General features: G+C 37.6%; 1 protein-coding gene and 1 long non-coding RNA gene across 9 annotated transcripts in view; one reads left to right on the forward strand and one right to left on the reverse strand.

The window, feature by feature from the left end:
• The window catches only part of QSER1 (glutamine and serine rich 1), an 87,460-nt gene that overhangs the window by 57,610 nt on the left and 13,186 nt on the right, over window positions 1-16,664 (forward strand). For 6 of the 7 annotated variants that reach the window (XM_047427611.1, NM_001076786.3, NM_001416037.1 and 3 more), the window contains 5 exons: window positions 3,437-3,759; window positions 4,876-4,992; window positions 5,568-5,701; window positions 7,449-7,666; window positions 15,880-16,017. In XM_047427611.1, coding sequence (XP_047283567.1) covers window positions 3,437-3,759; window positions 4,876-4,992; window positions 5,568-5,701; window positions 7,449-7,666; window positions 15,880-16,017 — 930 coding nt within the window. The remainder of the gene's footprint in view (window positions 1-3,436; window positions 3,760-4,875; window positions 4,993-5,567; window positions 5,702-7,448; window positions 7,667-15,879; window positions 16,018-16,664) is intronic. The other variant, NM_001416036.1, reaches the window with a different exon arrangement.
• The window catches only part of LOC105376615 (uncharacterized), a 59,453-nt gene continuing 48,706 nt past the window's right edge, over window positions 5,918-16,664 (reverse strand). The window contains exons 3-4 of one of the 2 annotated variants that reach the window (XR_931167.2): window positions 6,305-6,346; window positions 5,918-6,034 (exon numbers count right to left, since the gene is read on the reverse strand). This is a non-coding gene — a long non-coding RNA (uncharacterized LOC105376615). Of the gene's footprint in view, window positions 6,035-6,304; window positions 6,347-15,907; window positions 16,056-16,664 lie in introns of those variants that run through there. The other variant, XR_931168.2, reaches the window with a different exon arrangement.

A 16,664-nucleotide genomic window follows, 5' to 3' on the forward strand; every position in this document is an offset into this window, starting at 1 on the left:
GTTGTATATGTGATTATTTTAGTTCATCAGTATTATTCAGACTTACCACTGGAATTTTACATGTTATTTATATTTGTTCCTTAGCCCAAAGTTCCTCTATCAGCTGTGGTATTTGAAGTATTTTTTAATAGTTTTATTGAATTATAATTCATATACAATAACATCCACCCATTTAAAGTGTACAGTTCAGTGGTTCATAGACTTGTGCAGCATTTGTATCATTCAAAGAGAAACCCTGTATCCATTAAGGAGTCCATTCCCATACCCACACCCAGCTATAGGCAACCACAAATCTTTCTCTCTCTGTAGATTTGCCTATTTGGGATGTTTCATGTAAAGGGAATCCTATAATAAGTGACCTTCTGTAACTGGCTTCTTTCATTTAGCATAATGTTTTCAGGGTTTATCTATGCTGTAGCATGTATCAGTATCTGATTCCTTTTTATTCCCTAATAATATGGATATACCACATTTTGTATATTCAGTTATCCATTGATAGAGTTTTTGGCTATCATGAATAAATCTGTAAACATTCATTTACAGATTTTTGTATGGATGTTTATTATCTCTAGGGTACACATCCAGAAGTGGAATTCCTCAGTCATATATCTGCATGGTTAATAGAGGAATGGCCAAACTATTTTCCAATGTGGCTGTACCATTTTACATTTTCATCAGTGATCTATAAGGATTCCATTCATTCCACTTTCTTGCTAACATGTGTTAATGTCTATATTTTTAATTATAATCATCCTAGTAGGATGGTTAACTATTCTTTCTCTATTGAATGGTTCTGGCACCTTTTTTGAAAATCATTTGCTCATAAGTATAGGAGTTTCTTTCTGAACTTTCATTCTATTCCATTGATTTGTATCTATGTCTGTGTCAGTATCACAGTCTGTATTTCTATAGCTTTATGGTAAGTTTTGAAATTGAGAAATGTCAGTCTGCCAACTTTGTTCTTTTTTCAAGATCATTTTGGCTATTCTGGGTCCCTTTCACTTCCATATGAATTTTAGGAACAATTTGTCAATTTTTGTAAAAAATGAAGCTCAGATTTTTATAGGAATTGGGTTGATTCCATAGGTCAGTTTGGGGAACACTGCCATCTTAACAGTGTTGCGTCTTCTCATCCATCAACATGGGATGTTTTTCCAGTTATACAGATCTTCTATGATTTCTTTGAACAGTGTTTTTATAGTTTTTACAATGTAAGTTTGCAGTTCTTTTGTTAAATTTATTCCTAAATATTACTTTTGATGCTATTAGAAATGGAATTGTGTTCTTAATTTTATTTTTTGGGTTGTTCACTGCAAATGTATAGAAATACATGTGATTTTTATATATTGGTCTTGTACCCTGCAATCTTGCTGAACTCATTTTTTAGTTCTAATAGTTTTTTAGTATATTCCTTGGGATTTTTTTTTTTTTTTTGAGATGGAATTTCGCTCTTGTTGCCCAGGATGGAGTGCAGTGGTGAGATCGTGGCTCACTGCAACCTCCGCCTCCCAGATTCAAGCAATTCTCCTGCCTCAGCCTCCCAAGTTGCTGGGATTGCAGGTGTGTACCACCATGCCTGGCTAATTTTTTTGTATTTTTAGTAGAGATGGGGTTTCACCATGTTGGCCAGGCTGGTCTCGAACTCCTGATCTCAGGTCATCCGCCCGCCTCAGCCTCCCAAAGTGCTGGGATTACAGGCGTGAGCCACTGCGCCCAGGCCTTGGGATTTTCTATATACAAGATCATATCATCTGCAAATATAGCTTTGCTTCTTCAGATATCCTTCTTAGGAGGAAAGCATATACAGTTTTCACCACTAAGTATGATGTTAGTTACTGATTTTTTCTAAATGTCCTCTGTAAAGCTGGGGAAGTTCCCAGGCTGTTGAATGTTTTTATCATAAAAGGGCATTACATTTTGTCAGATGCTTTTTCTTCACCTATTGAAATGATCCTGTGCTCCTATGCTGTTTTCTATTAACACAGTGTATTACATTGATTTTCAGGTGTTAAATTAACTTTGCATTCCTAAGATAAATCCCACGTGGTCATATTGTATGATTCTTTTTGTATGTTGGTGGATTTGCTAGTATTTCATTGTGGGTTTTTGTATTTATATACTAAGGGATATTAGTCTATAGTTTTCTCATGCTGTTTTTGTCTGGTTTTGGTATTGGAATAATACTGGCCTCACAGAATGAGTTGGGAAGTGTTTCCTCCTATTGTTTGGAGTTTATAAAAGATTGATATCTTCTTTAATTGTTGATAGAATTATCCAGTGAAGCCATATGGGCCTGTGCTTTTCTTTGTGGGATGTTTTAAAATTACTTTTTTTTTTTTTACTTTGTATTGGGGTATTCAGATTTTCTATTTCTTCCCAAGTCTTTTTTTTTTTTTTTTTCCTTGAGACAGAGTCTCTTTTGCCCACGCTGTAGTGCAGTGGCACAGTCTTGGCTCACTGCAATCTCTGCCTCCCAGGTTCAAGCTATTCTCCTGCCTCACCCTCCTGAGTAGCGGGGATTAAAGGCGCGCACCACCACGCCCAGCTAATTTTTGTATTTTTAGTAGAGACAGGGTTTCACCATGTTGGTCAGGCTGGTCTCAAACTCCTGACCTCGTGATCTGCCCGCCTTGGCCTCCCAAAGTGCTGGGATTACAGGTGTGAGCCACCGTGCATGGCCCCAATCTTTTTTAGTATTTTGTGTCTTTCTAGGAATTTATCCATTTCATCTTAAGTTATTTAATTTGTTGGCATACAGTTTTTCATAGTATTACTTTATAATCATTTTAATTTTGATAGCTTCTAGTGCTGTTTCAGAATGTTTTGGGTTTTTTTTTTTCCCACATGTATTTGGTTTTTCATCTTCTATGAAGAGTCACAGTTTTGGTTGGCCGACCCTTCCTTATCTTCTATCACTTTCATGTCTTTATTTTTATTATTATTATTTTTTTAAGTAGGGTCTTGTTCTGTCACCCAGGCTGGAGTGCAGTGGCACTATCATAGCTCACTGTAACCCTTGAACTCCTGGGCCCAAGCAATTTTCGCATCTCATCCTCCTGATTAGCTGAGACTACAGGCACACAACACTATGCTCGGCTAATTTTTTATTTTTTTAATAGGGCTGGGACTACAGGTGTGAGCCACTGTACCCAGCCTCTTCTTTTAAAAATAATTTTGCTCTACTTACATGGAATTGGCAGCGGGAGGATAGGTAGATAGTTGCAGGTTTGCAGTCTACTTGTCATCTAGACTTAATTCTCACATCTTTGATTCTTGGAAATTAACATCTGTTGTCTAATTTCTTCCTGTGGTTTTGTTTCAACCAGTTTGATTACAAAATAATCAAGTCTTTCTTTTTAAACTGTTTTGAGTTTTACACAAAACAAGTGTTTAAATATTTGTAATACTGATTTGCATTTGCTTGGTTTTGTTTCAGAAGCCCTACAGGTGGCAACTACTAGCCCAACTGCCAATACTACTGGTACTGCTACTACTTCCTCAACCACTGTGGGTGCAGTTAAGCAAGAACCTCTCCACTCTACTTCATATGCAGTAAATATTCTGGAAAATATAAGCTCTTCAGAATCCTCAAAGCCCATTGAACTTGATGGTCTTCCTTCAGACCAGTTTGCAAAAGGACAGGACACTGTTGCCATAGAAGGTTTTACAGATGAGGAGGACACAGAAAGCGGAGGAGAAGGCCAATACAGAGAGCGTGATGAATTTGTGGTAAAGATAGAAGACATAGAGACTTTTAAGGTGATGTCAGTGTTCACCAGTGTAAAGGTCATAGTTTAGTTAGTGTGCCTGCGATAGCCTTCATTATGACTTCAATAGCATGCATCTACTTTGAATTATGGGAAGTTTTATGCATTATAAGTGTTTGATAAAATCAAAATATTAAGAGTAGATGTCAGATATCATTGAAGATAATTTTAACCTTAACTTAGTTGTACGTATTTCTGTACAAATGTAGTCAGTTGCATTTCAGTATTAGTAATTATAGTAGTTTTAAAATGTTGACTTTTTTCAAGGTTCCCAATTCATTATTAGTAGTTTGGAGAAAATCGTTATTTATATAATTTAAAAGTTTAAACAAAAATAACAGAGAACTATCATGTAAAAGTAGAATTAGATTTAATTTCATAATTTCAAGTTGTATAACCATGAAGAGAATGTAATAATTTTATGTAAGAAAGTTGTAGCTGTGTTTAAAATAACATATTTTGGGGTTTCTGTTTGCTTGCTTTGCTTTTTTGCCTTTTTATGTATTTTTTAAAATAGAGATGGGATCATGCTATGTTGACCAGGCTGGTCTCAAACTCTTGGCCTCAAGCAGTCCTCCCATCTTGGCCTCCCAAAGTGCTGGGATTACAGGCATGTAATCCTCATGCAGTGGCATGAGCCACTGCATACAGCCACTTTTGCCTTTTTAAAAAACATGGGAATGACGTTAAAAAGTGCAGTGAAGAATCCAACATTCAAGTGTCTGTATTCTCACTATTCACAGTTAACTACTTTTAATATTTTAATGTATTTGTTTATGGTCTTTTAAGATATGTATATATACATAGTTATAAAATTGCATATGTAACATAGGACAGTGTCATTAGCAGAAAACTTTCCAATAGTTTTAGCTGCACAAATGGGTAATGGGCTACTTTGTGTGCTAATGAACTCCCTATTTCTGGAATAATTTAAGCAGAGACTGAATAACCTAACCAGCTTATAAGAATTATTGCAGAATATCAGATAGAGAGGTGAGATAAAAGGTTGAGCTAGGGTAGGCCTTTCAGATTCCTTTCATCTCTAATATTCTAAGATCTAAAATATGTTGCTGTGTTTTGTAAGTATCATTAATTCTGGTTATTACAGGAGGCTTTAAAAACAGGAAAAGAACCTCCAGCTATTTGGAAAGTACAAAAAGCTTTATTACAGAAATTTGTTCCTGAAATTCGAGATGGTCAAAGAGAATTTGCTGCTACAAATAGTGTAAGTAAAATGCATGTTTACATTAGCCTTATTTTGACAGTGGTCCTGAGAAAAACAATGATTTAAATATAGAAGTATTTTATATTGAATATTTTTGATATAAAGTAGCATATAATTTGAACTAGAATATTGATGCTCTTTGATAGTCTAATATAAAAATAAAGTCATTTGTTAAATATCAGCTATTTAAAATTAAATGACCTTGTACTATTGTTTAACTTTTTTTTTTAATAAAGGAAAGGGATTAATGTTAGCCTATGAAGAGTTCAGATTGACTCAGAGGCTCCTTTATATTGATTATTCTACTAGTCAAATATCCTGATTTACCAGAAGACTGATGGAAGTTATTCTGTCATACTTAATGTAGCTGGAAGTAAGAATATGCCAAATGAGATTGCTTGTACATATGAAATCAATAATGAGCCTGGGATCAGTTTTTGAGGGTAAAATTAGCCTGGCCAGAGCTGCATTTTAGAAAACTTGAAGGTTGGCTATGGGATAGTCAATTGAACAAACAAAGTAGCATTTGTATCTAGATTGTTCAATTATGTAACTCAAAGTGTTTCCTTCCTCAGTATCTTGGATATTTTGGAGATGCAAAGAGTAAATACAAAAGAATATATGTGAAGTTCATTGAAAATGCAAACAAGAAGGAATATGTCAGAGTGTGTTCTAAAAAGCCAAGAAATAAACCTTCACAAACTATCAGGTATTTGTTTTCTTAGGTGATATATTTGTGCATATATATAGGTGTATTATTGATGATACCAATGTACAAAGGAGCATATCAATTAAATAGATTTTTTTTATTATACACAAGTCAAAAAATTTCAGTGCCTGATGAAATAAGTGATTCTTTTGAAGGCATGAGATGGGCACTGTAAAGCTCATGGCTATCTGTGGTGGGTGGGTGCCCTTTTCTTTTCCCTAAGTCCTTTTGGTGTCATCCCAGTATTGTGAAAAAAAATTGTAGAGGCAAAAAGTTTGAGTCCAGCTTTATGTGACTTAGAGAAGACAGCTTTCCTGAAGCTCCCTTTTTCATCTATAAAATGTAAATAATATAATGAAGTAAATTAAATTTAAAATAATTATTGATAAAAAAACTATAAGAACTACATTACTGTACAAGTGTACACAGTAGAATTATTATTGTGTATTAATGTGACTCTGGGTTGTCTGGAGCATGAATCTGGAAGATAACTGACTTGACCCTGTGGTCTGCATGAGAAGCAGGTATGACCGTAGATGTTCTTACTCCAGTGCCAAGTAGGTCCAGTTTCATTAACATTCCCACCTACTGGAAGCAGCTTACCTTATTTTTATGATGGAATTTTATCCACTCAAATCTTCAGACCTGGAAGAGAGCAAATCTTTTTTATTTGAGACAGGGTCTCACCCTGTCACTAAGGCTGCAGTGTAGTGGCATGATCACGGCACTGCAGCCTCGACCTCCCAGGCTCAGGTGATCCTCCTGCCTCAACTTCCCAAGTAGCTGGGACTACAGGTGTGCACCACTGTGCCCAGCTAATTTTTATAGGGATGGGATTTTACCATGTTGCTCAGGCTGGTCTTGAACTCTTGGGCTCAAGCAATTTGCCTGCCTCAGCCTCCCAAAATGCTGGGATTACAGGCATGAGCCACCATACCCAGCTGGCATACAGCAAATCTCGAGGGACTCTAGGACAGATGCATTTGGGTTTTTCTTTTTTTTCTTTTTTTTTCTTTTTTTTTTTTTTTTCTTTTTTTTGAGATAGAGTCTTGCTCTGTCGCCCAGGCTGGAGTGCAGCGGCGTGATCTTGGCTCACTGCAACCTCCACCTCCCGGGTTCAAGCGATTCTCCTGCCTCAGCCTCCCGAGTAGCTGGGACTACAGGCGCCCGCCACCACTCCCAGCTGGTTTTGTATTTTTAGTAGAGATGGGGTTTCACTATGTTGGCCAGGCTGGTCTTGAACTCCTGACCTCAAGTGATCCACCCACCTCAGCCTCCCAAAGTGCTAGGATTACAGGCATGAGCCACCGCGCCGCATTTGGGTTTCTACATCAAAACCTGACACCACCAGAGCCTGTGAGAGTTTCTTAGGGTCAGAGCTAGATATGGCAATTACGGTTATAACATTCATTACCTTCCTAAGCCCACTGATCATCTGTTGTACAGCCTCATAGTCTCTGGGAAATAAGTCCATAAATCAAGGAGGGCAATGAAGAAGTAGAAATAAGGACTGAACTAAAAGTCCCTTAATAACTGAATATTGAATGCTTCTGGTGAAAAGAATGTATTTTAAGAAAATTTTATGGGAATCACCATTGAGATGTATATAGGACTTGGACTGTATATTTTGAAGGTATTGGTGAGAGTAATTAGATAATCTTCTCCTGTGATTCTCTTTTATTTTTCTATTTTATTTTAGTTTAACAAGATTTCAGTGTGTTAATGAAGTTTGTTTATAACATTGCAGAACTGTTCAAGCTAAGCCAAGTAGTAGCAGTAAAACTTCTGATCCTCTAGCATCAAAAACTACAACTACAAAAGCCCCTTCCGTGAAACCCAAAGTTAAACAGCCAAAAGTAAAGGCTGAGCCACCACCAAAGAAACGGAAAAAATGGAAAGAAGAATTTTCATCATCCCAATCTGACTCATCTCCTGAGATCCATACTAGTAGTAGTGACGATGAGGGTGAGTTTTCCGTGAAATGGCTACCCTGATAACTTTAGATTATCTACATGAGTGGTGAGGAGCAGGATGCTGACAATTCAAAATGTATTTACTTTTCAGGGAATTTATCTACCTAATAAATTCTGTTTAGGTTTTTATGAAAGTAAGTTCACATTCCCTGAACATACCAACTGAAGCACAGTTGGCCCACACATGCAGCCTTGTAAATAGAAAAGGCAGAACTTACCTTAGTAATGCCAGTTATCTCAACTCTGGATAAGATGGAGGTTAGATCAGATGATTACTAAGAATCATCTAGTTCTAAACTTTTTTTTTTTTTGAGACAAGGTTTCATTCTGTCGCCCAGGCTGAAGTGCAATGGCATGATCCTAGCTCACTGCAGCCTCGAACACCTGGGCTCGTAACTCTCCTACCTCAGCCTCCAAAGTAGCTGGGACTATAGGTGTGCACCACCATGCCCAGCTAATGTTTCTTTTTAAGATATGGGCTCTTGCTTTGTCACCCAGGATGGTCTCAAACTCCTGGGCTTAAGCAGTCCTCCTGCCTTAGCCTCCCAAAGTGCTGGGATTACGGGCATGAGCCACTGCGCCCCACCTAGCATAAACATTTGAGTCTAAGTTTATGCTAGAAGAAAAGAATAACTAAGCCTAGGAAAGGGGCACTCAAATTATAATATAGTAATATATTTAATAACGTATGCCACTACATTATTTAATAAATGCTTACTACTATATATCTGCCACTAGCTAATCATGTACCTATAACGAAGGTAGGATATCCTCTCTTAGTTTTCTTGTTTTATAAAATGTAAAGGTTGAAATAATTTGTTATCAAACTTCTTGATCTTAGAACCATTTTACATTCTTAAAAATTATTGAGGATCCTAAAATGCATTTATGTAGGTATATCTATTGATATTTACTATATTAGAAATTAAAACTGAGATAGTTGTAATACATAAGAATATACCAGCACACAAAGCATGGTGTACAATATATGTAAGAAATTTCAGGTGGTTTAGTAGTGTAGTACAGAGGTTGCCAAATGTCTTGCAGACTGAATCTGACCCTCAGCCTGTTTTTATAGTTTTATTGGAACACAGCCGCATAGATTCATTTGCATATTTCCATACAGTTGCTTTCCCACTACAGTGGCAGATTTGAGTAGTTCTACAGAGACCATATGACAAAATCTAAAATATTTACCTATAGCCCTTTACAGAAAAAGGTTGCTGGCCCCTATTTTTCTAGAACATAAAGTAGAATTTAAGAAAAGAGGAAGGGATGATGAAAGACCTTGTATGCCATAATAAAGCTAAAAAGCTTGTGATCCTGTAAACAAATGAAAGTCCTTAGAGGGATTTATAAGGGGGAAACAATATGGTGAAATTTAAATTTGAATTACAAGACATAATTCAGGCATAAATTGAGTCTGAACCTAAGTAGTGGCAGCAGGGATGGAGATGAGGGGACAGTTTTGAGATATTCAGGATGTAATTTTGGCAGAACTTGAATGGTGAATTAGTTGTTGGGGCTATGGTTGAAGTTGATGTCCAGGATGGTTTCTGACATTACAAGTATCATTGCTTGAGAGATTATCTTAGAAATTATCTGATTAGAAATAGAACCATAATAAAAAAAATTCTTCAGTGCTGAAGTCTACTTTAAATTTACCGTTTTTATTTTTTATTTTTTGAGTCAAGGTCTACTCTGTTGTCTAGGCTGGACTGCAGTGGTGCACTCATGACTCACTGTAGCCTCGACCTCCCAGGCTCAAGTGATCCTCCCACCTCAGCCTCCTGAGTAGCTGGGACTACAGGTGGGCACCACCACACCCAGCTAATTTTTAAATTTTAATCTTTGTAGACACAGGGTCTCACTGTGTTGCCCAGGCCGATCTCAAACTCCTGGGCTCAAGCAATCCTCCCACTTCGGCCTCCCAAAGTGCTGGGATTATAGGCATAAGCCACTGTGCCCAGTCTAAATGTACTGTTTGTAAATGCTATTTGTGGGCAAGTGCAGTGGTGCACATCTACACACCCAGCTACTTGGGAGGCTCAGGAGAAAGGATTGCTTGATCCCAGGAGTTCAAGACCAACCTAGACAACATAGCGAGACCCCATAGCTTAAAAAAATAATAATAAAAAATAAAGCTATTTGTAAATGGTTGTTTAGAAATATATACATCAGGCTGGGCATGGTGGCTCATGCCTGCAATCCCAGCACTTTGGGAGGCTGAGGAGGGTGGATCGCCTGATGTCAGGAGTTTGAGACCAGACTGGCCAACACGGTGAAACCCTGTCTCTACTAAAAATACAAAAAAATTAGCCAGGTGTGGTGGCAGGCACCTGTAATCCCAGCTACTCAGGAGGCTGAGGCAGGAGAATCACTTGAACCCAAGAGGCAAAGGTTTCAGTAAGCCAAGATTGCGCTATTGCACTCCAGCCTTGGGCAACAAGAGCGAAACTCCATCTCAAAAAAAAGAAAAAAGAAATATATAATCAGAATAGGTAAGGAAATTCAGTGCCTTGAATATGCATAGAAGGCATTATACATAATTTTTGCAGTTAGCAGTCTTGCCTACTGCTTAGAATCAAAACGTTTGTTCTGAATTTGCTCTCAATTATAGTTTCTTCAAATGACAAGGTAACATTTTCTTCCCTTGGTAATTTGAGTGACCACTAGGTGTCACTAATAGTTAAGCAAACATTTTTAGGCCTTTTTGTTCCTTGCTTTACATTCTCAGGCTAAAGAATGTATTTAGTTCTCTTAAGAAGTCAAATATTGATAATAAACATATATTCATAGGCTGGTGATTTTCAGACTCTTTGTTTCAGGACTCCAATGGAATCTTCAAACACATTGAGGATTCCAGATACTTTGGTTTATGTGTGCTAAATCTATTGAAATTTACTAAATACCAATTCAAAGTTTTAAAATATTTATTTAAAATGAACCCATTACTTATTAATGTGAGGTGTTTTTTTTAAAACAACTATACTTTCCAAAACTAACAGTATTTAGTGAGATAAGTGCATATCTGCTTCTACATTCAGTTTGTTATTATATGTTATTTTGGCTAAAGTATCAAGAATATCCGTACTTAACTGAGAAAGCAATGGAAATACTCCTCCTGTATGTAGTTAGGAAAAGGAGGAGGATTTCAATTGCCTTCTCAGATACTCATAGATACTCCTGATACTGACAAGTAGTAGTTTCTTGAGTTTTCATGCTATTACATTAAAATCTATTGGTTTGTCTTAACTTTACATATCTCTCATCCATGCATGGTTTTATAACATTGTTCATTGGTCATGTGAAAATATTAGTTAGCTCAGTGATATAGATCTTCCAATAATTAATTTTTTTCACACTTTAAAACACTGTGGTTAAATATAAATTTGCCTTTTTAACCATTTTTAAGTGTACAATTTATTAGCATTATTTACATTCACACTGTTGTATAACCCTCACCTATATTTCCAAAACTTTTATCATCCCAAACAGAAACTGTAACCATTAAGCAACAACTACTTATTCTCTTTTTTCTCTAGCTACTGGTAACCTCTAATCTGTTTTTCCTCCAGCTACTGGTAACCTCTAACCTATTTTTTGTATTTGTGATTTTGCCCATTCTAAATATCTCATATAGGTGGAATTATACAATATTTTTCCTTCTGTGTCTGGCTTCTTTCACTTAGCAAAATGTTTTCTAGGTTCATCCATGTAAAAGCATATATCATAACTTCATTCCTTTTTATGGCTAAGTAATATTCCATTGTATGTTTACACCACATTTTATTGATGGTATTTGGGTTATTTCCTCCTTTTGGCTAACTGAATAATTGGTGTAATGAACATTGGCATACAAGTATCTAAGTTCCTATTTTCAATTTTGGAGGCATAGACCTGAAGCAGAATTGTTACTATTGTCACATAATAATCCTATGTTTAGCCTTTAGAGGAACCATCAAACTGTTTTCCACATGGTTACACCATTTTATATTCCCACCAGGAAAGCATGACGGTTCCAATTTTTCCACATCCTTTGCTAACACTTGTTATTTTCTGTTTGTGTGTGCGTCTTTTTAAAGTCATCCTAGCAAGTGTGAAGTGGTATCTCATTGTGGTTTCAGTTTGAATTTTTCTAGTGACTAATGATGTTGAGCATTTTTTCCATGTCCTGAGCATTTTTTCTATGTCCTTATTGGCCATTTGTATATCTTCTTTGGAGAAATGTCTATTCAGATCCTTTGCCCATTTTAAACTGGGTTATTTGTCTTTTTGTTGTTAAGTTGTAGGAGTTTTTTAATATATTCTGGATATTAAACCCTTAATCAGATACATAATTTGAAAATGTTTCCTCCCATTTTGTAGGTTGTCTTTTTCACTTTCTTGATAATATCCTTTGATGCACAAAAGTTTTAAATTTGGATGAAGCCCAATTTACTTATTTTTTCTTTTGTTACTCAGCTTTTGTTCACATAGAATCCATTGCCAAATCCAAGGACATATTTACTCCTACATTTTCTTCTAAGAGTTTTATGGTTCTAGCTCTTAAGGTCAGATATTTCATTTTACACTATCAAAAAATAGCACTCATCAATTCTATGAATGATCTCATTAATGAAGTCTTTACAAATTGGGAAGCTCAGACTCACAGTGGGGATAGAAGATGTCCAGAACTCTAATTTTCACTTGAAATCTCAAATTTTATCATTGGCAACAAATACCATCAGTTGTTTTCCTTGAATGAGCAGATTCTCTTAATTTATTTTTAAGAATAAATTAAGGTCTGCCAAATACCCAAGTCTGGATAGGCATAGTGTATCTGTCAGTCATTCTTTCAAATAAAAATCTTGTTTTCTTGGGGGAAAGAATGGCTAGTTTATCTTGTAACTCACACAACTGTATGGGTGCTCCTCCTGGTCATACCCATTATATTTATGCAGAAGTGCTTTATGTGTACCTGCTATTTCATCACACAGAATATTAAAAAGACATCTATTCAAGAATAGAAATTTCATAAAATTAATAATTACTTCTTCGTCAAGGACTATTAATTTTTATTTTGTTTTATCTTTTTTTGAGACAAGGTCTCACTCTGTCACCCAGGCTGGAGTGCAGTGGTACAAACAAGGCTCACTGCAACCTCAATATCCCAGGCTCATGTGATCCTCTCACCTCAGCCTCCTGGGTATCTGGGACTACAGGCGCTAATTTTTTTGTATTTTTTAGTAGAGACAAGGTTTTTCCATGTTGCCCAGGCTCTGTTTGTTTGTTTGTTTGAGACGGAGTCTCGCACTATCGTCCAGGCTGGAGTGCAGTGGCGCGATCTCGGCTCACTGCACCGCCTCCCAGGTTCAAGCGATTCTCCTGCCTCAGCCTCCCGAGTAGCTGGGATTACAGGCGCCCGCCATCATGCCTGGCTACTTTTTTGTATTTTTAGTAGAGATGGGGTTTCACTATGTTGGCCAGGTTGGTCTTGAATGCTTGACTTCGTGATCCACCCGCCTCGGCCTCCCAAAATGCTGGGATTACGTGCATGAGCCACCGCATCCAGCCTTGCCCAGGCTCTTTTTAAATTTTGTATATTTAGAGAGAGGTCTCACTCTGTCACCCAGGCTGGAGTGCATGGTGTAATCATAATTCACTGTAACCTCAAACTTCTGGCACAAGCAATCTTCTCACCTCGGTCCCCCAAGTAGCTAGGACTGACTACAGGTATGCACCACCATGCCCAGCTAATTTTAAAGTTTTTTGTAGAGACTGGGTCTTACTATGTTGCCCAAGCTAGTTTTAAACTCCTGGCCTCAAGCCATTGTCCTGCTTCAGCCTTCCAGAGTGCTGGGATTATAGGCATGAGTCACCTCACCTGGCCCTAAGACTGTTCTGGTTGTTAATTAAGAGATGGGGTCTTATTCTATCACCAGCAGGAGTAGAGTGGCACCTTTTTAGCTCACTGCAGCCTTGAACTCCTGGGCTCAAACAGTCCTCCTACTTCAGGCCCCCAAGCAGCTAGTACTACAGGCGCATGCCACCACACCTAGCTAACTTAAAATTTTTTTTTGTAGAGACAGGATCTCACTATATTGCCTGGGCTGGTCTTGAACTCCTGACCTCAAGCAATCTTCCCACTTTGGCCTCCCAAAGTGCTGGTATTATAGGTGTGAGCCACCATGCCCAGCCCCTAGGACTATTCCTAAGTGAAACTTTTTCCCCCTCCAAATACATGGTAGTGAGTGACATGACAAAGTCATGCAAAGTATATTACTGTTAGTACAGTTTGTTGTCATTGCCTTGATTCGTGGGGTAAGGCACCATCAATTTTACCCAGTAGTAGTTTTGCAAATGGCAATGCAGTGAAGAAAGTACATAGTATCTTAATATTATCATGAAAACAGTTTTGATATCAGAGACCACCAAAAGGGTCTTGGGGTCCCCCCTGGGGTACAGTTACTTTAACAGCTGCTATTTAAAATACATACACCTACTATAGGCCAGGCACGGTGGCTTACAGCTAATCTCAGCACTTTCAGAGGCTGAGACAGGAGGATCACTTGAGGCTGAGAGTTCAAGACCAGCCTGGGCAACATAGTGAAACCCTATCTCTAAGAAAAAAAAAAAACACCATATATATATATATATATATATACACACACACACACACACACACACACACACACACACACACACATACACACACATAAACGCACACTATATACCCACAACATTAAAAATATTTTAAAAACTGCTATTTAAGGGTGTGACTTGATTATATATTTGAATACAAAAAGTCAAAATTGAAACAAACTTTTTTTTTTTAGATGGAGTCTTGCTATATTGACCAGGCTGGTCTTGAACTCCCAGGCTCAAACAATCCTCCCACCTCAGCCTCCCAAGTAGCTGGGACTACAGGTGTGCACCACTGCACCCAACAAGTTAATGTCATAGTTCTTTCCATTGGATTTGAATGAAATTTTCTCTGTGCACAGGCTGTGTTTACATTAAAATGATTTTTTTCTTTTTTTCTTTTTCTTTATGAGACAGGGTCTTTACTCTGTTTCCCATGCTTGAGTGCAGTGGCGCAGTCACAGTTCTCTGCAGTCTCAACCTCCGGGACTCAAGCAATCCTCCCGCCTCAGCCTCTTGAGTAGCTGGGAATAGTGGTACATGCCACCACACACGTGGCTAATTTATATTTTTTTTAATTGAAACGATGTCCCACTATGTTGCCCAAGCTGGTCTCAAACTCCTGGGCTCAAGCAGTCCTCCCACCTTGGCCTCCCAAAGTGTTGGGATTACAGGCACGTGCCACTGCACCTGCCATACTTTAAACATTTTTAATACATCCTAGGCAAGAATTTTATAGTAATTTATGTCTAGGAATAAAAAGGAAATCTATGTATTACTCATACATTGGATGTCATACAATTTCTTTACTACTAAACAGAGAAACCATCAAGACTACAGTAGCACCACCTAGCAGCAGATGTCTGTGGTGGGATCCAGCAGAAGACAAATAGTTTCTTACCCAGTCTACTTTTTCTGGTGTTGGGCTTCAGAATCACCTAGGAAGGGCCAAGCGTGGTGGCTCACGCCTGTAATCCCAACACTTTGGTAGGCTGAGGCAGGCAGATCACCTGAGGTCAGGAGTTCAAGACCAGCCTGGCCAACATGGTGAAACCCCCTCTCTACTAAAAAAATTAGCCAGGCATGGTGGTGTGTACCTATAATCCCAGCTACTCGGGAGGTTGAGGCAGGAGAATTGCTTGAACCTAGGAGGCGGAGGTTGCAGTGAGCCAAGATGGCGCCATTGTACTCCAGCCTGGGCAACAAGAGTGAAACTCTGTCTCAAAACACACACACACACACACACACACACACACACACACACACACGAATCACCTAGGAAGCTTTTTAAGAGCATAATACTTAAGCTTCATCACCCTACCACGACCACCACCACTACCAAAGATTCTGTTTTAGGAAGTCCAGCAATCTGGTTTTTGTTCTATTGTTAACAAAGCTCTTCAGTCATTGTCATGTGCAAACCAGCTTTGAGAACCTCAGACCTTTTAAAGGTAAGGTGAGAAAGTCTTGAATTTGAAGAAATTGTATCTGCAATCTGCTTCTAGGGTCTCGTTATAGAGAAAAGTGTTTTTAAAATTGTCAGGAAGGAAAATTTAATATTTAACCCTTTCTCCCTCCCAGAATTTGAACCTCCCGCTCCCTTTGTCACTCGCTTTTTGAACACAAGAGCAATGAAGGAAACCTTTAAGAGCTACATGGAATTGCTTGTTAGCATTGCCTTGGACCCTGACACAATGCAAGCCTTAGAGAAGAGCAATGGTACAGTCTTCTAAGTAGTACTTCCTTGGTAGTACTTCCTGGAATTAAAAAAAGAAATCTTGTCTGTTAGTTATATGTTTATATGTGACTTGTGTAATATATACCTATAAATTGTCAGTTAAATATATAGCATCTTAATTCCATAAAATGGTCATATCTTTTCATGCATTCTCTGAATATTTGAACTTTTATTGCTTTCTACTCATGGGAAAATTGTATAGCTTCTAACCAGTTTCTTCCAATTCTAGAATCTAATCATCCTCATAAATAGTTTACTAAGTGTTAGTATTACATGAAAGGTCTGTATGTCAGTATATTTTATTTTCCAATAATTGGAAAGATGAACCAGATAAAAGTGGCATAAAGATTAAAATCATATACTTGTATCTTTTGTAAAAGATACATCATAGCAATTATTTTCTAATCAGTTAAAATTAGTATTAAACCAGTAAATGCACTGGGTTATACCAATTAATATTATTCCTTTTAGTTATTTGAGAAATCTCCATACTGTTTTCCATAGCAGTTGCACTAATTTACATTCTCACCAGCAGTCCCAGTACTGAGTATCTACATAAAGGAAAATAAATAATACCCAAGAGACACCTGCACATGTGTTTATTGCAGCACAGTTCACAACTGTAAAG

This window comes from Homo sapiens, chromosome 11, assembly GCF_000001405.40.
Source record: "Homo sapiens chromosome 11, GRCh38.p14 Primary Assembly".
NCBI lineage: Eukaryota > Metazoa > Chordata > Mammalia > Primates > Hominidae > Homo > Homo sapiens.